Source organism: Homo sapiens, chromosome 1 (assembly GCF_000001405.40).
Source record: "Homo sapiens chromosome 1, GRCh38.p14 Primary Assembly".
NCBI lineage: Eukaryota > Metazoa > Chordata > Mammalia > Primates > Hominidae > Homo > Homo sapiens.
The window spans coordinates 158,005,896-158,033,476 of record NC_000001.11 but is presented as its reverse complement, the minus strand read 5'-3'; the positions used below and the strand labels follow the sequence as shown (position 1 = coordinate 158,033,476).

At 47.5% G+C, this 27,581-nt stretch overlaps 1 protein-coding gene and 1 long non-coding RNA gene across 5 annotated transcripts in view, besides 2 other annotated features; both read right to left on the bottom strand.

Moving 5' to 3' along the window:
• KIRREL1 (kirre like nephrin family adhesion molecule 1) overlaps positions 1–27,581 on the bottom strand; it is a 106,618-nt gene that overhangs the window by 66,786 nt on the left and 12,251 nt on the right. The window lies entirely within an intron of this gene.
• On the bottom strand, positions 1,379–7,927 carry KIRREL1-IT1 (KIRREL1 intronic transcript 1). Its single transcript, NR_145471.1, has 2 exons — positions 7,791–7,927; positions 1,379–2,760 (listed from the first exon to the last, which is right to left on the bottom strand). It is a non-coding gene; the product is annotated as a KIRREL1 intronic transcript 1 (long non-coding RNA).
• Positions 13,455–14,140: an enhancer, noted in NCBI's record as "OCT4-NANOG-H3K27ac hESC enhancer chr1:157989127-157989812 (GRCh37/hg19 assembly coordinates)". NCBI's record gives its function as "activates a minimal SCP1, AML or CMV promoter by ChIP-STARR-seq in naive H9 embryonic stem cells {active_cell/tissue: H9 hESC(naive)}" and the evidence as "EXISTENCE:reporter gene assay evidence [ECO:0000049][PMID:30033119]".
• Positions 13,624–13,918: an enhancer, noted in NCBI's record as "tiled region #389; HepG2 Activating non-DNase unmatched - State 10:DNaseD". NCBI's record gives its function as "activates a minimal TATA promoter and a strong SV40 promoter by Sharpr-MPRA in HepG2 cells {active_cell/tissue: HepG2}" and the evidence as "EXISTENCE:reporter gene assay evidence [ECO:0000049][PMID:27701403]".

The window sequence follows — 27,581 nt, the reverse complement described above, 5'->3', positions numbered from 1 at the left end:
AGGTGCTCCTCGAAAGGGAAGGCGGCCACTCATGGAAAGCCCCGATGTTTCCTTTAAAGGTGAGGCATGGGGATAGTGGTGGGGGTACTCTCAAATGTGAGTCGGGGCCTAGCACGGTGGCTCACGCCTGTAATCCCAGAGCTTTGGGAGGCCGAGGCGAGTGGATCACCTGAGGTCAGGAGTCTGAGACCAGCCTGGTCAACATGGTGAAACCCCGTCTTTACCAAAAATACAAAAATTAGCTGGGCATGGTGGTGGGCGCCTGTGATCCCAGCTACTGGGGAGGCTGAGGCAGGAGAATCGCTTGAACCTGGGAGGCAGAGGTTGCAGCAAGATCGCGCCATTGCACTCCAGCCTGGGTGACAACAGCGAAACTCCGTCTCAAAAAGAAGAAAGTGAGGATCCCGGCCGGGCGCAGTGGCTCAGGCCTGTAATCCCAGCACTTTGGGAGGCTGAGGCGGGCAGATCACTTGAGGTCAGGAGTTCGAGACCTGCCTGGCCAACATGGTGAAACCGCGTCTCTACTAAAAATACAAAAATTAGCCAGTTGTGGTGGCACATGCCTGTGGTCTCAGCTACTCGGGAGGCTGAGACAGGAGAATTGCTTGAACGCGGGAAGTGGAGGTTGCAGTGAGCCGAGATTGTGCCATTGCACTCCATCCTGGGCAACAGAACAAGACTCCATCTCAAAAAGAAAAAGAAAAAAGAAAAAGAAAGTGGGGATTCCCCATCACAGGCTGGGAATGATTTATAAGGAGGCTGGGGACAAGCAGTGAAAGGTGGGAGGTGGGGGGCGGTTCTTACGCCTGGGACACACCTGGAGTTAAAGGAAGGGATATCCAGAGCTCATCTCTTCTCAGACCTGCAGGGAGACCTTTGAATGGACTTCCTTTTCCACACTTCCACCCTCTGCATCCTGTTCCCAAGAAAAATAGTTTTTAAATTCTGCCTTCAGTTGCCTTCTGACTCCTACTAATTCCAGAGACAAGTTCCCTTACAGCCCATTTATTTGCACAGAAGCCAACTTCATACAGGCATTCAAGCACCTACTATGTTCCTGAGATTGAGACGCTAGAGGAAAGTCAGCCCTGCCTTCAGGGAGTCAACACACAGCCAGCCTCTCATTACCCCAACCTCATCTCCCTGCTCCCAAGCCTGAACTTCCTGCTTCAGCCAGACAGGCCCAGCTCCTCCTTATCCTCTCCAGCCATCTCCCAGCCCTGTGGAAGCCATGAGAATCCCTGCCCCTGACTTCTCAACCCTGATCTAGTTTCCCCCATGGACACCAGTCCCCAGTTCCCATCATACATTAAATTCTTAATACTTAATTTTGTCCTATCTTGTTCTCATTTGCAAGTGTGTTTGTTTGTTTGTTTTTCTTTTCTTTTCTTTTTCTCATTTATAGGATCTGGCTCTGTTGCCCAGGCTGGAGTGCAGTTGTGTGATCACAGCCGCAGGCTCAGCCACCTAGGCTCAAGCAATCCTTCCACCTTGGCCTCTCAAGTAGCTGGGGCCAAGGGTATGCACCACCACACCAGGCTAATTGTTTTTCTTTTGTAGAAATGGTTTCTAACCCTGTTGCCCAGGCTAGTCTCAAATTTTGGGGGTCAAGTGCTCCTCCTGCCTCTGCCTCCCAAAGTGCTGGGATTACAGGTATGAGCCATTGCACTGGCTTCATCTGTCCATTTTTAGAAGACTTTTCAATCTTCTTTATCTATCCCTCCAAGCAACTGGGATCCCTCAAAATACAAGGACTAAAACTCTTTTCCCTCCAGTTCTTCCCACTCTCCCCACAGGGGTCAATCAGCCTCAGGAATTTGCTGCCAGGGCACAGAATGCTTCCAGAAGTCGCCCAGCCATTTGGACACAGCAGGTAAGTATTGAGTACCTACTGCATCCCTGTGAACTCCTGAGCATTACACACACTATTCTCTGATGAGGAAGGTGGTGAGTGACAGAGAGGGACTGGAACTGGGCTCTTCTGACTCCTTCCATCCCACTTGGCCCCTGAGCCTAGAGGGCACCTGAGAAGTACCACTGGGCAGTCCCAGCCAGTTTCAGTTTCAGTCACAAGAATGGAACCCTAACTCTCCAAGCCTCATGGCAGTGCGTGTGTGTGCATGTGTGTGTGTGCACGCGCGTGTGTGTGTTTAGTGGAGGGGAGAAAGAAAAGAATAAGAAGACAAGTTCTAGAAGCAAAGGCAGCCTTCCTAGTTATTATTTGATATTAGGAAAGACATCTTACCGTTTGTTTCCCATTACAGCCTTCAATTCCCTTTTCGTTCGGGGGACCTGAAGCACAGAGCCAGCTTGTTGATTGGTTTGAGTTTAATTCATTTGTGTAATATCCCTGTTCCGATGATGTCTAATTAACACTTTTGTTGGGGGGAATAAAACCTCCCATAATCATTAATGAACAGGGGAGAGGAGGGGACTCTTTCCCAGGCAGCAGCCTCGATGCTACTGGGCTGTTTGCTGGCTCCATCTTAGAGAAGTCTTAATGAGACATGTCTTAACAATGGGATTATCGTCCACTTTGGACCAGGATGAGCAGATGGAGCTGGGATTTGATGATGGGATGTTCAGTGCAACATGAGTCAGCACTCACACCTACTCCTGGGGATCTTGACTCTGGGTACCAAATCCAGAGAGGGGGTGCATGGCTGGACAGCCTCTACCACATAGGACAGGTACTCCAGCTACTGGATGAAATTCCAGGTATGAGACTACTTCTTTCTGGTTTTCTCACCTGCTCCAGGCCTAGCAGGGAGAAATAATATATTAGATTTGTTTGTAATTTCACAATTTGCAAAATGACTTTATAAATGTTAGTTCACAGCTCCTGGGGACAGAGAATACCAACCCCATTTAACAGACAAAGAAAATTAAGGTCAGAGAAATTGAAGGACTCACTCAAGGTCACAAAGCTAAGATATGCGACGGCCTGGAGTAGAACCCAGATCTTCTGACTCCAGAACTTTGGGCTCCCTGGGGAGCAGGTTCGGTTTGCAGGTCACTGAGCACACTCCACTGCTCTCCAGAGAAGTCCTATAGAGCTAAAACCCTGGTGATGATATAAAGGTATTGGGATGGTTTAGACTTTTGAAATTCTAGTGTTTGAGAAACCATCTAAAATATATGCAAGTCTGAATGGCATGTGTATGTGAGGGTGAGAAAGAAAGGATCCATAACTTCCATAAGATTCTCAAAAGAGTTTATGGTCCCAAAGTCACAAAATTCAGCAGCCTGGGGTCCATCTCTGACCACATCTTCTAGTGTGAAACATGAAATACAACAAGCTGGGGTACTAACAGGAAGATGTGGGTTCTAGTCCCACCACTTTCATGTGGGTAACTTCAGGTAACCATTTAATCTCTCTGGGCTTCAATTTCCATACCTGAGAAATAAAAATCAAAAACCCTGACCTGCCTTATACACAGGGATTTTGTAAGGACCAAAATACTTAAGGTTAAGAGAAATGGTAGCTAGAAGATAATGATGGGAGAGAGTTATTTTCACTATTTTTCTTGTAGTTTTTATATTTTGTACTACGTACATTACCTACTAAAAATATAAAATTAAAAATTTAACAAAAATACATTAAGCCATCAGGTTATAGAGTGCTTTACTTATACTATCTCACTTAATTCTCTGAACAGCCCTGCAAGGTAGAGATAATTTTCCCAATTGCATGTGAGGCAACTGAGACTCAGTAAGCTCAGATAAATTGTGCAATGTCACAATTGTGTCTGAACATTAGCAGGTCTAGGATTAAAGTTCGTATCTCTCTGATTTCAGAGTTGCTATTTGCTTCTCTCTCTCTCTCTCCTATATTACAGGTGCTCATTCCATCTCATAAAGGCTCAGTGTTAAGAGATAAACTAGATGTACATCGGAGGAGAATAAATTTCACTATACTGCTACAGGAGGGCTAAAAGTTTCCCCATCATTATCTAAATATAAGACTCCCATAACTATTCACCTTCTAACCAACCCAATTGTACATTGGCAGCCTGAAGAATAATATTTTAAAATTATACATATTTTATGTGCATTATACATACGTGCATATATGCACATGCATGCATGTGTGCATGCGCGCGCACGTGCACACACACACACACACACACACACACACAGGTTTTTGTTACAGCAATAGGGAGAGAGAATTAGGGCAGCTATTGAAGATGCACTCTGTGGTCTAGCACTGTGGAGATCTGCCCAGGCACCTTGGCAAGAGTTATTCCTTCTGTCTTATGCCTGAATGCGCTTACCCTTGCCTTGCACAGTCTTGTAAATACTTTGCTGTTGATTCACGATAGGTTATTGTTTTCATTCTGCTGTACATGCCCTGTACAGGTTTTTCCATGTCAATGCCTCTGGCTTAGACTGCAGGCCCCAAAGGCAGGGGCTGGACCATACGTATCTCTTTATACTACATCCACACTGAGCCAGACGCAATTATGTGTTTAATAAAGGTTTGAACAGATGACCACAAAGATAAAGGTCATTTATTTCAACTTAAAGGGATATGAGCCCTCTAGGTAGGGGAATTTTCACCAGACAGTGTTGTGCAGTGGAATGTACACTAATACCTGGAGAAGGTCAAGTTCTGCATCCTGACTTTATCTGGTTCTACCAAGACCCAGGGCAAGAGAATTAGCCTCTCAGTTATTAGCTTGTGCACCTATGAAATGGACATAATAATACCTACTTCACAAGACTGTAGTGAAAATTAAATAAAGAGACTGTGAAATCCCTAGTAAACTGAGAAGTGCTATGTAGTTTTCAGTTACATAAGTTAAAAAAATAGAAAAAATAATTGAAAAAATAACAACTGAGCAAATCCCTAAGATGTGGAAGCATCCCAGGAAAATGCCTCCTGGGCTTTCCAGCCTCAGTGGAAACTATGGCCCCTATGCCTTGCAAAGGCCTGGTATATCATCGCAAATGGAATGAATACTCCAGAGATCCTTGCAAAAGCTAGTTGCTACAATTAAAAGCAGAATTTGCATCCAGCTTTGGGAACAACTAAAGAGGAAAGAAGCAACCCAAATTCTCCCTAAATTTCATTTAAGTTGCATTAACCCTTCTCTAGCCATTCTGGATGGGACACATCACACAGCTACACACTCCCCAACATTAGGGAGGGTTTATTCAAGGGCAGACCAACTAGTGCAAATTACCATGCAAAGGTACACCCTGAGGACCCAGGTGCCCAACAGCCCCTGCGCAGGCAGACAAGGCTAATAAAGTCTCAGTTCCTGCAGACCACTGCAGCTGCTTTGGCAGAAGATGAAGGTCAAGGTTAGTTGTGGAGAGAGACGGCATTCCGGCAGAGACAGTGGCATGTTCCAAGCCTGGGGGCAGGAATGAGCAGACCCTACCTCAGGGACATGGTAGGGTGGGAGAGCGGAGGAGGAGTTGTGTAGGGAGGTGATGAGAAATAGCATTATTAAAACCTGCAGGGAAGTATAATGGGGAGGTGGGAGCGTGGGTCTTTTTTGAAGTGGTCTCTATCATTCCTTCCCTGGGGCTGCCCCTGCACTATCCCTAAGACTGAAATCCTATTAATTCTTCCTGAAGGTCAATCCTTTTCCAAGCACCCTAATAAGAAGTAATTTGTTGCTGGGAGCTTCCTGGCTATGCTACTCACAAGGCAATTTAACATCTACTGCTTTGCTCTGAGACAACACAAACATATTGAGGACCTACTATGCGCCAAGTGCTTTCAGCTGATCTAATTTTCCCCACACACCTGTGTATTATCCTCATTTCTGAGAAAGACTTTTGTGATATTGTGAAATACATATTTGGTCCTGGCTCTTGGCATATACTCCTAAAGTCCTTGGAATCTCCCAAGCGATAAGTGTCTTTCTGTATGCTAATGAATTGACTGGTGGCTGGCAGCCCCTTGGTGGCTTCAGTATGAGAGGTGTTCACCAGACAAACCAAGGCAGGATTAGAGGGTTGAAACCTTCAGCTCCATACCCCAACCTCTAGGGAGGGAAGAGGGGCTGAAGGTTAAGTTGATCACCAGTGACCAATGGTTTCATTAATCATGCCTATGTAATGAAGCCTTCATAAACCCCAAAAGGACAGGATTCCGAGATCTTCCAGGTAGCTGAACACAGGGAGGTTCCTGGAGGGTAGCACGCCCAGAGAAGGCATGGAAGCTCCACATTCCTTCCCACGTGCCTTGCTCTGTGCCTCTCTTTATCTATATCCTTTCTACTATCCTTTTATGAAAAACCAGTAAATGTGTTTCCTACCTCTTTGAGCCACTAGAGAAAAGGAATAAAACCTCAGGATGGGGTCTTGGGAACCCCAATTTGTAGCCAGCCAGTCAGAAGCGCAGGTAAAACAATGCGGGGCTTGCGATTGATATTGGAAGTGGGGGACAGTCTTGTGGGACTGAGCCCTCAACCTGGGGGATCTGATGCTATCTCCAGGTAGATAGTGTCAGAGTTGAATTGAAGGACACCCAGCCCAAGTCTGCTAAAGGATTGCTTGCTTACTGGAAGACTGATTGCTTGCTGGAAGTGCAGGGAAAACCCCACACATTTGGTCACAGAAGTCTTCTGTGTTGACTGTTGTAGGGGGTGGGGGGGTGCAGAGCAGAGGAAAAACAGTTTGCTTTTTTTCATTCAGCTTTGGAGCATGGAGATTAGGAGCATAGTCTCCAGGCCAGACTGTCTGACTCCAATCCCAGCTGCTCTGTCACATCTTAGCTGTGAGACTGGACAAGTTACTTCTCTGTGACTCCGATTCCTGTTCTGTAAAATGGGGATGATAAAATATCTACCTCATAGGATCATTGGGAAGATCACATAAAGTAATATATCACTTTTAAGGGTATCTGGCACTTGGTTAGCTAATAAAGCAACTGATGCTTGGACATTTGCCCAAGACCTAGTAAGTGATATAGCTGGGATGATAACCAAGTATGTCTCCCTTCAAAACCATGTTGTTTCCACTTTTCCACATAGCGTCCCATTCCCTTGTATTTCTCTAAGTATGCTGTCCCCATCTCCTGCATGTTCTCATTAGGTTAACAGTGGTGGGTCCTCCACGGGGCCTAGAGGATGTCCAGTCAGTGAGCCCAGATAAGCAAGTCTACAGTGAAGATATACTAGACCTAGCTTCTATACATTACCTGGCAGGACAGGAAGAGGGAAGAAGCCACACCGGCCAGAGGCTGGAATTCCACCTACCCCTGGTGTGCTTTCTGTGCCTCTGAGATTCAGAGGGCAAAGCATCAGTACCAGACAGAAATACAGGGCAAAGAAAAAGGCCCCATGGAGGTGCTGGGGAGTAGAAACCCCAGCCTGCAGCTCCTTCTCTGCTTCTCACTCAGCCTTTGGCCTTCTTATGACTTAGTCAAGAGGAAGGCAGTGCCAGAGTGCCAAGTCAAATAGGTGTGCCCCCTCCCACCACCCCACCAGGACTGGCAGGGAGAGAGGCCTGCAGGAACCAGGGCAGGGGTCCCATCTGCTGTCCTGCCAGCTCAGCACTCCTACTTGCCCCTGCCCCAGCCCATCCTCCCTTCACGCCACCTCCCCCAGCCCTTCTGCTGGGGGAGGGCATTTCTTCAGACATCCTGACCTCCTCCTGCCCAGGAGGATGAAGGCATAATTAGCAGCAGCCTCTCCTGGGGAGTGGGAAAGAAGAGTGGCTCATTAAACCAGCCATGCGTGCCTCTTCTGTGGCTCCCTCCCCGGGTTCTGCCTCTTCTGCTTGCCCTCTCCTCTCCATCTCCTTTGCTCCCATTTCCTCTCCCATCTTCTCACCCTCTGGCCTCTGCTTCTCCTCTTCGGTGCTGCTCTTGGCTGCATCTCTTCCCGCCTGGCCTCGTCTTGCTCTGTTTATCTTCTCTCCTCTCTCTCTTCTTTCTCTGGCTGTTTTTCCTTCTGGACTTTTCCTTCTTCCTTCCTCTCTAGACCATTTTTTGGCCGTCCCCCACCCCCATCTCTCTCCTTTGTTTCCTTTCTCAGATCCTGTCTCCGATGCCCTTCTCCCTGGGGCACCCTTAGCCTTTGTCCCTCCTCAGAGTCTTCAGTTCCTTGCTTCTCCTGCCCTTTTGCTTCACCTCTGGCCTCTGCTCTGCTTATTCCCAGCTCCCCTTTCTCTGTCGTTTCCCCGAGTTTTCTCTTTCCCCTTTTCTTACTCCATTCCTCTTCATTCCTGGGCCTAACAGGGCCTGTCATTGCTCCACTCGGTGTCTCCGCCACCCTGAAAGAAATCTGTGCATGCATTCTTTCCCTTTCCCGGTGGGAAGAGAGAATGGGGGGAACTTGAGGAGGACCCATCTGACTTTTCTCATCCAAAGCGCTCCCCTGCATTCAATCCACGCATTAGTCCAGAATGTGAGACCCAGTGACAGGTCAGTTTGCAGGGTCAGAAGAAAATGGAAGATGCTTTCTCCACACAGAGGAGGCGGCTACAAAGGAACAGGCTTTGAGTGTCCATGGGTCCCTCGGGGACAGGATGTCTGCCAGCCACACTTGGGCTGCTCACAGTGGTGGCTGAAGAAATCGGAAGGGAGGATCTCTTTTTTTGGTCTGGTTTCCTCAGCTTAGGGCAAGAAGTGCCCACCTCCAAGGAGTTACTTAATTTGGTTTTTCCGCACCCCTCCCTTCCTTCTAAAAATGCCACTGGTGCTGAGCTGCTTCAATTCTGAGGTCAGGGTGGACCCTGGGGAACTGGGTCGGGGAAGGGACACAGGGAAAACACCACGATCCCCTTTGCCAGATCTGTTTCAAGTTCTCCTCTATAAACCGTTATGTTTTCAGGTATGGCATTCTACAGTTGGATCCAAGGGCCTTCCCACCCTCATCCTCTGGGTCTACCACTTCCTACACTACCTGTTAACAATACCTGTTCAAAACCCTGTGTCTCAGCCGGGTGCAGTGGCTCACACCTGTAATTGGAGCACTTTGGGAGGCGGAGGTGGGTGGATCACCTGAAGTCAGGAGTTCGAGACCAGCCTGGCCATCATGGTGAAACCCTGTCTCTACTAAAAATACAAAAATTAGCCGAGTGTGGTGGCACACACCTATAGTCCCAGCTACTAGGGAGGTCGAGGCAGGAAAATAGCTGGAACCCAGGAGGTGGAGGTTGCAGTGAGCAGAGATCGCACCACTCCACTCCAGCCTGAGAGACAGAGCAATACTCTGTCTCAAAAAAAAAAAAAAAAAAAAAAAAAATACAACAACAACAACAAAACCAGGCCGGGCGCAGTGGCTCACGCCTGTAATCCTAGCACTCTGGGAGGCCCAGGTGGGTGGATTACCTGAGGTCAGGAGTTCGAGACTAGCCTGGCCAACATGGTGAAACCCCGTCTCTACCAAAAATACAAAAAATTAGCCAGGTGCAGTGGCATGCACCTACAATCCCAGCTACTTGAGAGGCTAAGGCAAGAGAATCACTTGAACCCGGGAGGCAGAGGTTGTGGTTAGCCGAGATCATGCCACTGCACTCCAGCCTGGGTGACAGAGCGAGACTTCGTCAAAAGAAAACAACGACAACAACAACAATAAAAACCCTGTGTCTCTTCCATCCCCTCCCACTACCACACATTCCTATCTCCATTTTACCAAGATATTTGACAACAGGACACCTTTCGCAGCACAATAACTTAACGTTTTCTTTCCACTTTCCAAACAGTTCCTGAAATTGTACTTCTTTCAGGAAGCCGTCCTGGATTGACTCCATCTTAAAGCTGGAAGAGATCTAAGAAATTATTTAATCCTGTCTCAATTTAGAGTTAGGACACTGAATGTTAGAGCAGTAAAATGATTTTCCCGGTGCACCCAGGATATTAATGGCAAGGCTGGTAGAAGACACACAAGTCTCCCGGTCCCCCTACTTGTGCTCTTTCCATGGTACCCAGCTGCCTTTTAAACGGAGAATGGAGAATAGATGGTCCTGTCTGGTGTGGGGATTCCTGTAATTATGCCTCTTATGCTCACTCCAAAATACTTTCCCTTGTAGTCTGTCTCTTTGCTATATTTGAGACTGGTATTATTGTTCTTAAGTGAAAATTTACTTAACTGGAAGGCAAGTAACCATATTGTATTCATCTCTGTTTCCTCAGCACTGAACAGTGCCTGGCACTCAATAAATGCTTGCTGAATTGAAACTAACTGAAATGAAAACATACTATTGACCGTCTAAAACTACAGAGCCCTCACCATCAATAAGAGGGTGAGGGAGTTTTTTTGTAGACAAGAATGATAAGGCATGGCCCAGTCCACTGGGGGCCAGCTCTCTCCTGCCACTCCCCACCACTCCCAAAGGAAAATGGGGCCTGGAATGATGCCTAGGGACACAACTTGCACTTTTTGCCCTTTCCAAGGCCCGAAGAAAAAGGCATAACCTTCCAGGCCATGACCTTTGCATTTGTTTGGCCTGCTTCATGGCTGCAGCCAAAACCTGTGGAGAGGAGAAAACAGGGGCCACATAGGCCTCCAAAAAGAACTTCAGAAGACACCCGTGGACCCTCACATCACCCAGGGTGGTCACTCTAGTTGCTCCTGGACCTAACCCCAGGTCTCTCTTCATTTGCACCCAGACTGAGTATACACAGGTAAGAGTGTGCGGGTGTGCAGGTGTGTGGGAGGAAGAGGCTGGAAACAGGCTAGGGCGCTGGCACTTTAGCAGAAGGCCCACAGATGCAGATGTGGAGAGGAGCTGGCAGAGTGGTACTTGCCTGAACACTTGGACCCTCTCTCCCGCCCTTCCGATTAAGTTATTATGCAATCTGTTCTGGAGGCTGTTTGGGGAGTTTAAATCTCAGGGCCTGGATTTCAGCAGCTGGCAAAGGATCTGGGACAAGTCCTAACTTTTAACCATAGTGGGAAGCACATCTATAGTAGGGGTCCTGGGTGTTCCCAGTGGTGCCCCTTTGGCACTAGATGTAAATTCAATAGGGAAAGTGAAGTCAAAGAATATGGGTGTTTTTTAGCTGTAGCAAGAAGAACAGTAGGGTGGGAGTAAGGAATCAGGGCTTCTAGTTCTGCTTCTGTCAGAATCCGCTGGGTGGCACTGGGCAGTTTGCATCCCTTCTCTGATCTTCAGTTTCATAATTCATAGAACAGATTACCTCTAAGGTCCTTTCCAGAACGGACATCCCAGAACATAGTAGGTGTTTAGCACAAGTTAAATGCTCAAATAGAAATAATTCTGAGATTCTCTTTTTTGGGATACTTATAATGCTCTTATCCTTTACATCCCACTGGTCTCATTTGGATGATAATGGCCCTTCAGCATCCTCCTTGCTTCATGCCTTCCCCAGGTTTATGTGCCCAGAAATCAGAATGCAGCCTCCCAAACTTCATTATGTTGACCCACTTCTCCAGAACCCAAAATAGCTGCCTACTAGGAATCCAGGTGCATAAAGCTTTAATAACTACCCACCGAGCCCCACCCCAACCGCACCCACCCACACACCTGGAGTGGATTTCTTTCTCCCCTTACAATCCATGCCATGTCTCCTCCTGCTGAGCCCTGCTCCAGATTTACCTCTTTAAGGAAGCCTGGCCAAACTAGCACTATCCATAACCACACCCAGTATTATTTCCTGTCCCTTCAGTACTTAACACCTCAGGTTACATGGCATTTCTCTGCAGTTGCTTACATATATCCTGATAAGTATAGGCACAATTTTCTTTGAAACCTTACAAGTGAACAGAAGGAACCAAAAAAACCCCTTTTGTAAAGCCCACCACAGCTGCCACACCCCCAGAACCTCTAGGGCCTATTCAGTCTTTCCCAGGAAAGGGAGGGAGACTGAAAACATAATTTTATATATATCCTGTAACCTGTTATAGAAAGTAAATAGTATTCAGTCAAAAGTCATGTATATGCACATTTCTTCTTAACCTCAATTACAGACTTACACATAGAGTTATAGCTAAAAAGAGCCTCTGCTTTTACCTAGCCCAACTTCCACATGTTAGGGATTATGATTACCAAAGCCCAGAGAGGTTAAGCAACCTGTTCAAAGTCACACAGCTTATTAGTAGCAGAATCAGGAATGAAACTAAGATGAGGGTAATGCCTCAAACAGGGCTCCTTCCATAATACCACGATACTTTCACCAGCTGACTGAATTAGCCAAAGCAAGGAGTCATTTTGGCATCATGCAGCCAGCTGAGTTCTGCTTTTTTGGTGGAGAATCTGCAATATAGTGCAGTGAAAGAATCTCTCCGGGTCACCAGAAAATAATTCTGATAACAAAAGAGGGACAAATAGGTCTGAAGAACAACCAAAAGGATTTTATGATTCCACCAAGAAAAAAATTAAGAGCCCTAGGATACGGCATTTTTTACTGTGAATTTTTGAGGTTTTGGTCGAGATACTTCCTCAATGCCAGCCCACATTGGCCATTTTTAGGTTGCTGCTGAGGGTGGGACCATCAACTCTAAGTGCTCTGTGCAAATCCAAGGAGCTTAGCAACTGGAGAAGAAAGAATTACAGAAGATATGGGCCACTGCTTCTTCCTCCTGGCACCCAATAAATCCAGCGGCCCTGTAAGGTGGTCCCATCATCAATTATGATGAAAACGTTTATGTCTCAGTTATCCACACCACTGAGGAAGAGCAGTGGAGTGGATAATACAAAAGTTATTTCTTTTTGGCTTTGGAAAGCATGATAATGAATTTTTAGCAGCACCTAATTATGTCGTACTGAAGATAATATTTAAAAACTGTTTGCATTCTCTGAGCACATATTACGTGATAGTACCAGGAGCTGAGCTGGAAGAGAAACTAGACTTTGAGTTAAACATTAATTATAGGGATCTACCAAGTGGATAATCCACACTCAAATAACTGGGATATTCACTCAACGGCTTTTTTTTTTTTTTTTTTTTTTGATTTACTGTATGGCAGTCATTCTGCTCTATGCTGGGGAAAAGAGGCAAGAGACGGAAGTTACAGATATAAACAAATCATAGTCCCTATCCACAAGTAGCATTATAGTCTAGTGCAGGAGCTTAACAACCCACTATGATTAAAACAGAATGTATGATCTTTTGGAATTTCAAAGCAATTTGCTTTGGAAGCCCCCCAAAAATAATAGTTCATTCTTTGGGGGGAGTTGAGAAGACTACCTTAAGAAAGTGGCATGGGGGGTGCATCTTGAAGGCAAATCCAGATCTCAGAGAGTAAAGGATGGGAAGTGGGGTCATTGGGACTGATGCAGCAGTGTTAGCTAGGTATGGAGGTGAGAAAATGTATGGGCTATCCAGGGAACATCATCTTCCCGGAGGTGATGACTGGGATATCCTGACCAGGTGCTCTGGGAGGAGAGCTCAGAAAGAGAGAGACCTGACTGGTTTCACCCTTAGAGCAAAAGGAAATTCTGTCCACCCCAAGACCCCTTCCAATGTGCTCCCTGCACAGCCATCATTTATTTCAGCAAGACAGTTCTTGCTCCTAAAGCAACTTCCTTTCCACTGGCTATTCTGAAGAACTAAAAAAATTCACCCTGGGAAAAATGCTTATCCCGGGCCACAGCAGTCTATTTTTGACTTCAAACTTACTCAATTCAGGACTAATTTCTCTGGGATTCCCAGACTTGGGACTTTCTTTACCGGGGTCGGGGGTGTTATGCTTGGGGCCTCTCTCATAGCCATCAGCCCCTCCAAACCCTTCTGATTTGCTGCAGCTTTAAAATTGCAAGGGAAAAAAAGATGGAGAGAAGGCAGTTCTCTGCCTCTCCTGCCTCTTTCTCTTGCTCTGCGGTTAAGCTCAGCAATGATCCTACAAGCCTGGAATTTGAGGAATTTCCTGCCCCGTGCTCCCTGGAAGAGCTGAGAGAGACCTAGCAATTAGGCCTGGAGTTTCCACTCCTGCCTCCCTCCACCCAAGTTAAGTGCCCTGAGTGAAAGCCTCAGTCTAAGGGGGTCAGTGTGGAGCTCAGCCTGGGATGTGTCTGTGGCCTTAACTTTCAGCCCAAATGCGACCCCCATATAGTCACCCCAACAGCCATGCCCTCCTACCTCCCCCTCTCAATCACCCAAAGAGTATCTGCCAAAATGCTCCAAATCCTTTCGTTTGCCCATCTTAGAGTGTAGTAATGATACTAGTACAGGACATAACAGAGTTAATTCCTTCCAGAATCCATCTGGTCCTTCTGAAATTGTCTGAGAATAATTCAATGCCTTTTTTTTCCACCTTCCCTTCCTCTAACATCACAGGAGCAGAGCTATGCCTCAGCTCTTTATTCCTTCTCCTCCAGTCTGCTCCTCTCTCTTGTCCCTTCTCCCTTTTCTTGCCTTTGTCCACATGTTCATCATGACAATGCACTGACTTATTCGATTTGTGCCCTTGTTCCGTGTCCGCTATAGGCTGAGGGTCTTAGATCTGCTCCTTGAGCACATTTCTGTCTTGGGAATTTCTAGAGGGCAGAGTGGAGGCTCTGGACCTCTATTTACTTGGTTCAAGCCAGAGAAACGGGAACAGGAATAGGGAAGTAGGGAAGGTGTTCCCAAGTCATCCGAATGAACCTTATGTAACTTCTTTGCTGCAGCAACTGCAACAGCAGAAGCAAATTTCTCCTCCTAATTATGTTTTGTTCAGGCTAATAATAAAATTGGTTCATCTTCTCTCGTAGCACATCAATCGATGGCTGGATACCAGGTACTGGGGCAAAAAGCAGCCTGGGATTTAAACGCTTGCCACAAATGGTTCTCAAACTGGCCCATCGACCCTCATCAGATGGCCTCCAGGGAAGGAGGCCCCCTCTTTACCCTTCCCCTCTTTTTCCAGGGCTCCTCCTTGTCTGGGTGTCCAGCTTTATGTTTGCTTCCTCATTCTAGCAGTCCCATTCTTGACACCCTTTCAATAATGCCCCATGCTACTTTTTGCTTTCGCCCTTCCTCCAATCAAGGGACATCTCTGAGTCTTTTCTCCTCAAAGTCCTAGAGCAGCTGACCAATTAGAACCTTGCTTCCCTACAGGCCACACTGCATTCCCAGGTTGGCACCATCTCACGCTCTGATGCCTCCTGGCTCCATGGCCATGCTATGAGCTGCCTCCTACCTGCCCACAGGTCTCTCCCGGGGCTTCACCAGCTTCACCATCACCAGCCCTCTACATCAGTTCCCACAGCCCTTCCCCTGCCCCCTGACTCTGCCTACTCCCTGCTTCATTCCCTTTCTGGGAAGTATTAGGCTGGGACCTGTGGTGTGGTGCGGCACACCAGAGCCTGAGGCTTCAGGCCTAGGGCTTCTTTGCAGTCACCCTAACTCCTGACAATTCTGACCCAGGGTGAAATTAAAATGGCAGTTTCCTGCTTCCCACCCCCCCAATTCTTCCTCTCAGCATATTCCACCAGCCTCAAAAGGACAAGACTCTCTGGCTAAAAAGGAAATCAAAGCTATTCCACTACTTCAATGGGAGTGTTCACTATCTCCAGATTTCCTTCAACTCTCAAGATATTTTGCCTTTTGAGGTTGAGAGTTGCCGGTTGCCAGTTCCCTCCTCCTCCCCCTTCACATTCCCTTCAAACAAAGCTTTTCTGTCAGGTTTTTGACCCTGATGAAGATTTTTAAGATTTTTAACTGGAATCTTTTTTTTTTTCTTTTCCCCTCTTCCTCTCTAATTCTGAAGGATCTTTTGTCTTCTAAGCAAAAGAACTGAGAGATTGAGAGGGAGGGCTGCCTTCTTTTTTTTCCTTGTAAGTAATTAGGAAAGAGGTTTAAAAAAAACAGAAAAATAGAAAAAAAAAGAAACTATTTTCTTTCTCAGAAATTTATTTTTTATTATTTTTGTTTTTTTGAGACAGAGTCTCACTCTGTCACCCAGTCTGGAGTGCAGTAGCGCAATCTCGGCTCACTGCAACCTCCTCCTCCTGGGTTCAAGCGATTCTCCTGCCTCAGCCTCCCAAGTAGCTGGGATTACAGGCGCCACCACCATGCCTAGCTAATTTGTATTATTTTTAATAGAGACAAGATTTCACCATGTTGGCCAGACTGGTCTCAAACTCCTGTCCTCAAGTGATCCGCCCTCCTCAGCTTCCCAAAGTGCTGGGATTAAAGGCGTGAGCCACTGCGCTAGGCAAAAAATGTATTTTAATAGGAAAAAAAAAAGAGAGAAAGCCCTTGAAAATGTAAAAGGAAAAGAAGGATCTTAAAAAGGAGGGAAAGGTAAAGAGGGTAGGAGAGAAAACTAAGAAGGGCTAGAAAGACCTTGAGGGAATGACAGAGAAGAGTGAGAGGAAGAGAGCCCTTGAGAAACGCAGGAGGAAGCAGGAAAGGAGGAAAATGAGGAGAACTTGCCCAGGGAGATGCCCATTTCCTGGGCCGTGCGTGCAATGATGAGTGTCTCCACTGGAACCTGCCCTCCGCAGGAAAGGGAGCTCGCAGGGACTTGACACATCCAGAGCACCTAACAGTGCCTAACATATAGTAAATGCTCCGTGAATGTGGGGTTGAACAAAACAGAGATGTCATGGCGACTTTTTTCTTTTTCTTTTTACCCTTGGACCAAATGAAAGGTTTGTTGGAAATGAGCAAATAAGAGACAAAGAATGCAGGGCCAACTTCACCTGAGCTAGGGCAGGTTGTGCAAGCAAGGCTGAGAAATGGATAGAAGTCACACTCTGTCAACTTCCTCTTGTCTTACCCTATTGTCTTTCCAAGGCTTAGCCCTCTCCCTGTCTGACTAGGCAAAACTGATCCAACGAAATGCTGTCAGCTCTCAATTACTCACACGTAGGTTCCTCACTTTGGAGATTAACCATGGAAAAATCTTAATCCCAGGCAGGCTGATTCCCTTTGCCACCCAGAAGGTTTCGGTTGTCAGTCTGGTGTGAGCAGGGAATTAGAAACTCATTTAAATAGCAGACCAAGTCAACTCTAATAAGCAAGGCAAATCTGATTATTTATCATCATTATTATCACCATGATGCATCCCAAAGTTAAAAAGAAAAGATTAAAAAAAAATCAGTGGCTGGGTGTTACTCGGGTCAAGGCTCTTCCTTCTATTGGGTCAACTGGGAGTTAACTATAGTTACTGCCTTTAACTGCTGGCCTTTGATCTGGCTAGCTTTCTGCAGTCTCTGGTCCATATTTGCAACATCTCTAAAATAAAGATTAGAAACAATTTGTATTATTTGTTTACTTAAAATAGTAGTTGACATTTTCTTTGCTTTCTTTTTTTTTTTTGAGACAGAGTCTCGCTCTGTCCCCCAGTCTAGAGTACAGTGGCACGATCTCGGCTCACTGCAAGCTCTGCCTACAGGGTTCACAACATTCTCCTCCCTCGGCCTCCTGAGTAGCTGGGACTACAGGCAGACGCCACTACACCTGTCTAATTTTTGTATTTTTAGTAGAGATGGGGTTTCACCATGTTGGCCAGGCTGGTCTCAAACTCCTAACCTTGTGATCCACCCACCTCAGCCTCCCAAAGTGCTGGGATTACAGGCTTGAGCCGCCGCACCCAGCCTGCTTTCTTAATATTTGTCAGGCACTATGCTCTATGTTTTATAGATCTTAACTCAATTAGTTTACTTGTTTCATAGAAAATCTGAAGCAGCATACATAGATTCGGTCAATGATATTAAAAATAAGAGAAGAAACTAGACACTGGGATGGGGATGGTGGAGATTAGGGAAGCAGGGAAAGAGACTAAAAACAAGAGAAATAAATTGAGGTTGGGGTAAAACTAATATACTAAATATATGCCATAAGATCCTAAGTGCCTCATCAGAGATGAACTACAAGGTCTAGCTCTGAGCTTCCAAGCAGTCAGTGCAAAGAGGAAAATTTCAAAATTCATGATACAATTTACAGTAACCATAAAAAAATGAACCAGAAGCTTAGGTAAAGTAGCTCTGGAACTTTCTCCTGTGGATCCTCATAAAAGGACACTGTGATGTGTTGAACCATGTCCTGGACAACATTCCTACCATAAATGCAGTAAGGAGTCTCACAGGGCTGTTCCTTAAAGCATTCCTCAGTGAGGGCTGGTGGCACAGCACCAAATGCTCAGTTCAGTAAAAGCAATTCTTTAAGGGGCCAAAACCATTCCATCTTGGTTCCCAACTCTCCAATGGTCTGGCTTAGTCTGAGGATAACATTGAGAGTATCTGCAGGAAGGGACTGGAGGTGGGTGATAACAGCGGGCAGGAGCGAGGGAGTGCTGCAGGTGCAAAACAGGACTCTTCCTACTTAGCTATTTTGGCCCCCAGTTCAGAACTGCATCAGAGATGAGAGGAAGAAAAGGACATCACAGCCCTCTCTGATACTCACAGTTTCTTAGGAGACACTGAAGGTATGGCAGGACTCAAAAGATTATTTCCCTAAGGAGATGGGGTGAGGGGCCAGCCAGCTGTTGTGATGTCTGGGGTAGGAGTAAGGTGACTTTATGAAACTCATTTAAAAAACAAAAGAGTACTTTGGCAATAAAAAAAAATTTCTTCAGAGTACACCTAACCCCCAAAGTATCAGCTTAGCTTGTGGCCATCCTGAGGCTTGGGAAGATTAAGCCTGCTGGAAAAATCCTAAGAAGCATTCAAAGAGGAATTAGTGGTAGCATTAAACACAGTTAAATAGTCCCAGTAAAGCACCGGAAGGAGGAGAACGCACCTCCCCTTCCGAGGAAGACCCCAAGAATCCTAGCAATTCAGAGATCTAGAGGGCCGCAGTTAACACAGAGGTGGGCCTTGCCTGTCGTATCCAAGGAAGGAAAGAAAAGTCCACAACTTAGTTATCCATGTAGCAATTCAGCGTCAAGAAGTTCTTCCATTTATCTGACTAAAACCTCCTTCCCCCCGCCCCCCCCCCCCCATAAAGACTATATTTCTCTTAATAGTGAAGGAGAGAAAGCTCGCCCAGTGTCGGTCTAAGGGACTGGGACCGGAGTAAGCAGGTCAGTCCCTCGCTAAAGGAAAGAAGATTACAGGGAGGGTGGTCGGGTGTTCCCTGGCTGCTGCTTTGAAATCCTTGTGAGTGAGGGGAAGGAGTAAAGGGTGGGAGAAGAAGGCAAGACGGGAAGGAGGCTAGGATCTCAGGCAGAGTCCCGGACAATGGGCAGGAGTATGGAACCTGCGGCCGGTTACTTAATTATCTCTGAATGGTTTTTGTTCCTGGCTTTAAACATTTACCCCTATTGGGTTTTCATGGCTTCACAAGCTCTCTATCTTCTTTTCTTTGCTGTTGCCATGGCAACAACTCCAGGCTTACAACTGCTCTCTGATTTTAAATAAAAGTTGAGGTTTCTCTCTCTCTCTTCCCTCCCCCTCCTCCCTCCTTTTTCTCTCTTACTCTAGTGAGGTCTCTCTCATCTCCCCCTTCCCTTTACCTTCCTCGTTGCCCTCCACTTCCCCCACGTAGCTCTGTTTTTTTATCATCACCTCATTCTCTCATTTCCTCCTTCCACCTGCCTTCTTACTAAGCCCTCTCCCATATCTTTGGGCTTCCAAACTGGTCCTAATCCCCTGGTTGCCATGACAGCAAGAATAGGCCCCTTAGGAGGGATGGGGGCAGAGGTTGAAAAACAAGGGCATCTCTAGGGAAGGTGGGGGATCTGCTGACAGTCCCAGGAGCAGTGTCACCTAAAATCCTCCAGGGACCACCACCTTCCTCTAGCAATTAATGGACAGTAAGCTCCTTAAGTCACCACCCCTACTCCCACCCCCACCCCAGAAAGGACATTTTTGTCTGTGCAGTGGGGAATGGTAGGGGAGGCAGGGAGGTCCGTGGAGACAGCCTAGATGAAGTGGCAGTTTTCTAGTCGGCGGGAGGTGTACACACACCTTGGTTGCGGAGCAAGGGCAGGGGACTAAGGTGGAACTTGTGGCTCTGGTCACTGCTGTGGGGCAGCGAGTCACTTACCCTCTGAGTCTTGGTTTTCATTTGTAACATTCAAGGGTTGGAATAAATCTGTAATTTTCAAACTGTACTCTACGATGCCCTAGGTCCTCTCAGAGCTACTGTGGGGCATGGGGTGGGGTATGCAAGGTGAGAAGAAACGGGGAGCCGTAGGCACCTGAAACCCAAAACAGTTCTGTCTGGCATCACAAGGAGTCTGCTTTTATCTGCTCGGGGTGGAGATGTGGTAGATCGTCCAGGAATCCTCATCACAAACATGGCATGCTTCTAGGGGAAGTCAGGTCCTCCGTCCACTCTGCTTAGTGGACTGCCCAGGTGACTCTCTTTGCCACCTGCCTCCTTCCTTAGCCCTAACCCAGGACAGACAGGTCAGTCGCAGCTTATGTGGAAATTATCTCTGAAATGGGCTAGAAGACAAAATACTTTACTTCATCCTCAACAACATAAACCTCTCTCTCTAAATTTTATGGGGTATGGGATAAAGGGAGAAATGGACAGCAGTGTGGCATTTTAGAAAAAGCTATGGAAGGGGAGTCAGAAGACTTCATTTCCAGTTCTAGCTTTTCCTCTGGTTAGCTCAGTGGTTCTCACTTGGGGCAATTTTACTTCCCAGGTGACATCTGGAAATGTCTGAAGACATTTTAAATTGTCACACCTGGAGACTGGGGTGCTACTGGCTTCCAGTAGGTAGAGGCCAGGAATGAAGCTAAACATCCTCCAATGTACAGGACAGCCCCCACAACAAAGGGTTAGCTGTGTCCAGCTTAAGCAAGTCATTTCCCCATTCTGGGACTCAGTTTCTTTGTTCATAGATTAGTAACTTACACTATCATTTATCTCACATTTGTTGAGTGCCCATGCACTAGGCGGGTAATGGGAGGCTGAGACAAAGAAGGCCCTTGCCCCTATAGACTTTACATTAACTTATATTCACAACTCCCAGTGAGGGGCAAAACAGGACTTATGAATTCCATGTTATAAAGCATTAGGGAAACAGACTTGCACAAGGTCACACAGACAATTGGAAAGGAAGATGGAATGTGAACTCAGGTCCCTGATTACAAATCCAGGACTCTTTTTATTACACCACACCAAAAAAAAGGTTAGTATTTAACAATAAGAGCTAACTTATACCACTGGCTTACAGTGTCTCAGGTACCAAGCCACACATTCTATGCAGGTAATTTAATGCAGTCTTTATCATCATTCCATGAAGCAGATGCCACTGTTCTCCTACAAAGAGGTGAAGTGACTTGCACAAGGTCACACGGGTAGGAGGTGACAGGTCCTTGAATCTGAGCAGTCTGAACTCCAGATCTTGCTCTTTTTTCCAGAAGGTGAAAAGCATCTGGCCTCAGGCATCATTTACGGAGCTCCTCATTTTACTACTGAATAAACCAAGGCCCCAAAAAAGCACATGTCTTGCCCAAGAGAAAGCAGTCCAATAAGACGAGTTGAGATTAAAATCCAGGTCACCTGACTCCTATTCTAAGGTCAACTCTAATCTACCCTCAAGCTCTACATTTTTTAATCTTATTGGGGAAGGGAAGCAGGGGTGGGAGATACACTATGAAAAACAGACCTAAGTCCAAAGGCCCAGGAATCAAAGTTTGAGGGAAAGTGGGAGGGGGAAAGTGGGAGAAACAGCTGGTGGTCATGAGAATGAAGAGAGCTGCCTCCAGATGGAGAAAGAAACTGAGAGCTCAACATTGAGGGGGAAGAGCTGGGGGAGGGAGCTCAGAAAGAAGAAAGATGCTGACCACAGAGGGGACCCGGTCCAGGGAAAGGAGGCTTCTGCGTGTGACTACGTCCTCGTGGCCACTGCCTGGCCTCCTGCTTCTCCTCCAGGCTCCTTCCCCCACTGCTGCCCTCCGGTCCTCCCACCAATCACCTCTCCACAGCTGGCAAGATTTCCTGGTTCCCTCCTTCACCTTAAAACCCACTGTGGCCCAGGGAAGGAGAGAGCCTGGAATCCCCCATCCCATCTCCCAGCCACCTGTGTCCAGGAGCTTCACCCACTGCCAACCAGACCTACCCCTGAGAAAGGGGACAATAAGACCCTCTACTTCCCCTAGGCCTCAGCGAAATGCCTCCAACCCCTCCCACAGGGCAGCCTTGAGAGAATCCTGAAGTGCCCAATAGAGCACAGCACAGAGGAGGCACCAGCCGCTAGGCTTCTCCCAGCTTCCGGTTCCTTCTAGAGTCTCTTCAAGGCTGGGCTCAGCTCTTCAGCCCATTTTACAGATGAGGAAGAGGCCTTGGGGCTTCTCCGAGGGTCCAACCCTCACGCAGGGGACCAAGGCATAATTATGAAAGAGGCTTTGGTTTGTCGTTTGTTAGTTTTGCTTTTAACAAAACATAATCCAGGGCCTTGGGGAACTTGCAATCCGGTTGGAAAACTGAAAGGTCAGTGCTTGAAAACCGAGTGTAAAGTGAGATAAAAAGAGAGGGTTAGTCAGGATGGGCTCTCCGGAGGCGGTAAACCATCTGCAGTCAGACACAGGAGGTCATGAGGGCCTGGGCTGAGAAGAGTGAGCAGCTTGCATAGGAAGGCTGTCGGTCTTTGCAGACAATCTGAGATTCCAGCCCGCTCCAAGTAGAGGGCCCTGGTTTTCATTTTTTCCCTGCCCCCACAGCTCAGCTCTGGTCAGCCTCTGAGATGATTAAAACCAAAAGAATTTTAAATGTCTGGAATTCACTTTTCACCACTGATGCCATTGGCTTATTTTCTCTCTCTCTCTCCTCCCTTCCCTTCTTATAATTTCTCCTCTTGGGAGAGCTATCTGTTTGCTTTACTCCTTTCTTCTGGCCCAGTTTGCTCTGAAATGATTCCCAGTACACACCAGTTAACTTTGTTTTCATTTAGGAGAGGAGGAGAAAGGGGGTTGGGTGTCTCAGGCAAAGGGGAGGGAGGAGGGAAGGGTGGAGGGCCCTTGATCTTGCTGGCAAAAGTTCCCAGAAAAAGAGAAGAAATAGCTTTCAGGGAAAGAAATCTGCCGAATGTTTATGTTCCCACAAGATTCAGCAAAACCTTTTCATAGACCAAAGCTAAAGTTCAGGGCAAAGCCAGAGCATGTTTCTTCGGGGAGAAACTCTTATCAACATGCATACACAAGCACCCACACCGTTGGTCCAGGTCCCCACCTTCCAGGGCAGGCTGGGACATTCTCAGGACAGTGTGTGTGTGTGTGTGTGTGTGTGTGTGTGTGTGTGTGTGTGTGTGTGTGTGTGTGTGTGTGTATGCATGTGTGTGACATTCTCAGGACTGTGTGGGGTGTGTGTGTGTGTGTGTGTGTGTGTGTGTGTGTGTTTATGGTGGGGACTCCTGCTCTCCTTACCCCAAGTTCAGACCAGATCTGAAGATGCATGAAATGTTTGCTTCCACCCTGGTTCCTGAGCAAACGCTGCTCCTGGGATACCCCTGCTCTGGCCCTCTGAAATCAGTACCTCTGGCCTTGGCTTATAAACCAAATCAGAGAGATCCAGGGCCTCATTTGGGAAGAGCCAGTCCTTTTCATGAACTCTTACCGGATAGGAAGGAGTTGGAAAACTGTGCAGCCAGAAAGAATCTTGGAAATTAACCTTCTCATTTTATGATAAGAAAATAGGCCCAGGTCACTGAGTAAGGTCTCTCCAGTAGAGGCACAAATGGGGCTAAAATCCACATCTAGACCTGCAATCCAGTGCTCTTTCCATACTGCCTCCTGAATATAGATGTTCCTATTGTAATGCCCAGGAAACCAGAAGCTGAGTCAGAAGTTGCAAGCCATGTGATATGTTTAACCCTTTTATGTTTAACTCGCTATGTTTAACCCTTTGGCACACAGGCTTGAGGTGGGCAATCTGAGGTCTGGCAGGCGGCAGAGGCAAGATCAGCCTTGCTTGGAGCTGGGTGCCAATGAGCTTTCAGCCAGAAGCAGCCCCAGCTTGAACAGGCAATTTATTTGTGGAAAGAAGAATTATACCAGAACAGGCTGCCATGACTTTTCTCAATAGCACACCCTAGAAGCAGCACAAGGTAGAAATTGTGTGCCTTCCCTCCTTTTTCGAGGAAGTAGAACAAAAGGACCCTCCCTCCCTCACAAACTTGTTAAGAAACTAACTTGCTTTATGTGCTGTCTGCTAAGCCAGGTGCTTTCATGTATGGTGGTAATAATAATGGTAGTAGTAACAACAGCCACCATTTGTTAAGCACCTATCATGGGTCAGAGGCTCTGTTTTGCATATACTGTCACCAGTCTTTTCAAGATTCCCATTTACCAATGAAGAAATTGAGACTCAAAGTTTATATTCCAGGATCTCACTGCTAGTTAATGGCAAAGAAGTAGGATCCACCTCATTTAATTCTAAAAACCAGGCACACTGGACTAGGGTCATGAAAGAAAATTCAATATGTCCAGGGAAAGAAGGACTTTTCCATGTCCCCCATCCGCTTCTCGGGGACCTGAAGAAGCTTGGGGCACAAAGAACTGCTGAGGAACAGGAACGAGGGACAGACACGAGACACACTAGAGATTAGGGTCCCCTGGTCCAACTGTGTGTCCAACTCACGGGCAAAGGTTTCTGTCTCTTGGGCCTCTCAATTCATCATCTGGACGGGTGTCCTTTCTGTTTATCTCTGGGATGAAAGCCCAAGGAAAGCCCCGAGGTGACAGCAGAGCTGACCATCTGCTGGGTCCAGAGGGGAGGGCCCAGCAGGAATGGTGTCCCCTCCCTCCCTTTTTCCATTACATCCTGTCCTGTGCTGACCCCATGGAGACAGGGCCATTGGGTGGTACGAACATGACCTTTACAACTAACCAGACAGACCTGGATTTAATTTGTTGTGACTCGAACAAATGACAGGCGCTCTCTGAGCCATGGTTTTCTTCATCTCTAAAACGGGCATGATGAGCACACTGTGAAACACCTGGCGCAGCTCCCACATGGTGCTGAGTAAAGGTGAGCCCTTTCTCTCTTCATCTGATCCTACTACTGAGTGATCATTCCCTGGTCATTTCCAGGGGCTCAAGCCTCAGGAGAGGTGTCCTGCTCCCCACAAACAGAAAAGTTCCCAGGCCAGGGTCCAGGTCCTGTTGTGATGGTGGCCCTGCCCTTCCTTTCCCTATCACAGCGATTCTCGACTTCCCAGCACACGGTTGACTGAACCTCACTGGGGACTATCTCCTGCTCTTCACTAAGCTTTCTGGCCACCAACCTATACACATCTCCTGCTGTACCCCTAGGGCAGGCCAGGGGAGCTCCGGGGATAAAGCCTGTGCCAGCAGCCAGCACTGTGGACCAGGTGAGGCCTCCCCAAGGGGCACAGCCTCCTGCCTTCTGGCAGAGACCCCTGGGGCCTGCTGGGCAGCCCAGGGGTTCTGGCTCCCAGGCTGCCTTACCACCCCAAGTGTCCCTTTCTTCTCACTGCGCCCCGCCCCCTTCCTCCAACATGTCTCTTCCCACTCTCCCCTTCTCTCCCTCTTCCTCCCCACCCCCCTCGCTGCCGGCTAGGAGCAGGAGGTTATGAAAATGAGCTGCGTGCCCAGGAGACTGTAATTATCTGCTAAGTGTGAAAGCCAGAATGATTAATTAAGAGATAATAAAAAGAAAAGGAGGGCGAGAGGGGGGCCTCCCGGCTTTGCTTTGATGATAGAACCTGAGGTGAGCCAAGCAATTAGGGGAATCTTTATCGAGAGTTAGCTATAATCCACAAATTATCAAGCTCCAAATGCTTCAGGAGCAGGGCGCACTTCACTCCTGCAGAGTGACAGACCAACAGACAGGGAAGGACAGCAGGAGCGGGGAGCATCCGGCTCGGGGGCAGAGAGAAGCGAGGGCACAGGGGCTGCTGGTGGATGGCCAGCTGCAGGGCTAGCTGCACTTCCAGGACTCCGGGCCATAGTTGTCCTACCCTCCTACCCTTAAAGGGTGCACTATCCTCAAGCAAACCCAGGCTGCCCACAAGCAGGCTCCAAGCTGAAGCCCGGTTTAACTCCAGGACAGGCTGCCCATGCTGCACTCTCCCCCCAGACACACGAGCTCTTCTTCTTCAGAGGGCTTACATTCCACCCCAGTCCTCTCCTGAGGTGTCGGGGGGCTCTGCCTGTGTGTGTGCAAAGCATGTCACCTGGCCAGTGTGAATGCTGCAGGGACCACATTTGACAAAGCCATACCGCAGCTCTCAGCCTCCAGACCCTCCAGCCCACATAGCCCTCACTGGGCGACCTCCTTCCGGCCCCACCCCATTCTATTAGACCCCCTATAAGAATCGTCTTCACTTCTCTCATGGGCTCCACCTGGTGTCCTCCTTCCACCTGGGCCCAGGTTCCCTTCCCTCCACCCCTTCTGAGGAAACGTCCCTCGCTGATGACCCAGCTCCAGTGTCTCTTTCTATCTTCTTCTGTGCAGATGCACAACAGGGTCCAAAATCTTCCCTTATTTAAATGATCTTTATAGGTGTTTATACACTGGGGAAGATGGGAACCCATGTCCCCCCATTATAGTTAGCTAGCTGGTAACAGAAACCAAGTCTCCTGCCTCAAGTTCAAGTTTACAGTTGAGTTTGCACTTATACGGTTCAGTATCCCAGGAAAATGCCCACACTCCTTCATCAGACTAGGAGATCCCCAAAGGCAGGCACCCCATCCCACAGACCCCATCCCCTCCTCTCTCTGCTTACACTGCTATCTCTTGGGATCCACCCTGGCAAGGCGGGACAAGGACACTTCTGAGTGATTCCAAGAGGAAAACATTCCTGCTCCTAAGCTAAAACTGGCCCTGGCTGTGAGGCAGGCCCACCTCTGCCATCACCCCCATGCCCACTTTCCTACATGCTGGCTTCAGCAGCAGATGTCAGCACTGCTCTCAGCCTGGCTCCCGTGGAGAGAGGAGGAGGGTCCCTCAGGCCATCGGCTAGAAATGATGGGAAGGACACCAGAGTCCTCCAGCCCCCAGCTGCTCTGAGCGGCTGAGAAGGGGACACTAGACAGGTAAGGGCACAGTGACTCAGCCAGGTTCTTGTGAACATCATTCTCCTGGTCCTGGCTGGGGATACTGTAGGAGGACAGCCTTGGTGGTTTGCTGGAAAGCAAATCTGACCCCTAACAAGATAAACTTCTTGGGCTCACGCGGGGCCCAGGAGGCAGTCTCGCCTATGACCTCTCTGGGCTTGCTTCTCTATTACAAGGAGCTTTGCCTTGAAGTATGAGAAAATAAACCTGTTGTGGAAAATGTTATTTATCCAGACACAGAGAAGACTGGAGACGTGTTCAGTTACAATACCCAATCAGACAATTTCCATGCAGGAGCAGGGAAGGTTCAGGCTAGACACAAAGAAGAACTTCCTGCTTGCCAGGGAGTATTTGAAATCAAAGTGAGTGAGCAGAGAGTACTAATGAATTCCTTTCTCTTCAGAAAAAGGACAAACATTGATGTCTCTGGGTTGGTTCAAATTAGTCCAACCTAAAGAGAGACATTTTGAGAGTCCATTTTGAGGTTCTTAAGGAATCATCACTCCACTTTCATTTCTCACCACAGGTTCTGTGTTCCAAGAAGCCCAATCTATTGATCTCGCCCCATCTGTACTTTGCCTGTGTTCTCATTCACACTTGCAGATAGCTAAATGTGTGTTGATTTTCTGGGAGAGAAGAGCAGGTGAAGGAAAATTAATGGGAGATCCTGTTTCCCCCAGTGGACAGGATTCCCTAAGTATAAGGACCAGGCTTCTCTCACAGAACCAGGGAACCCTGAAGGCAGGCAG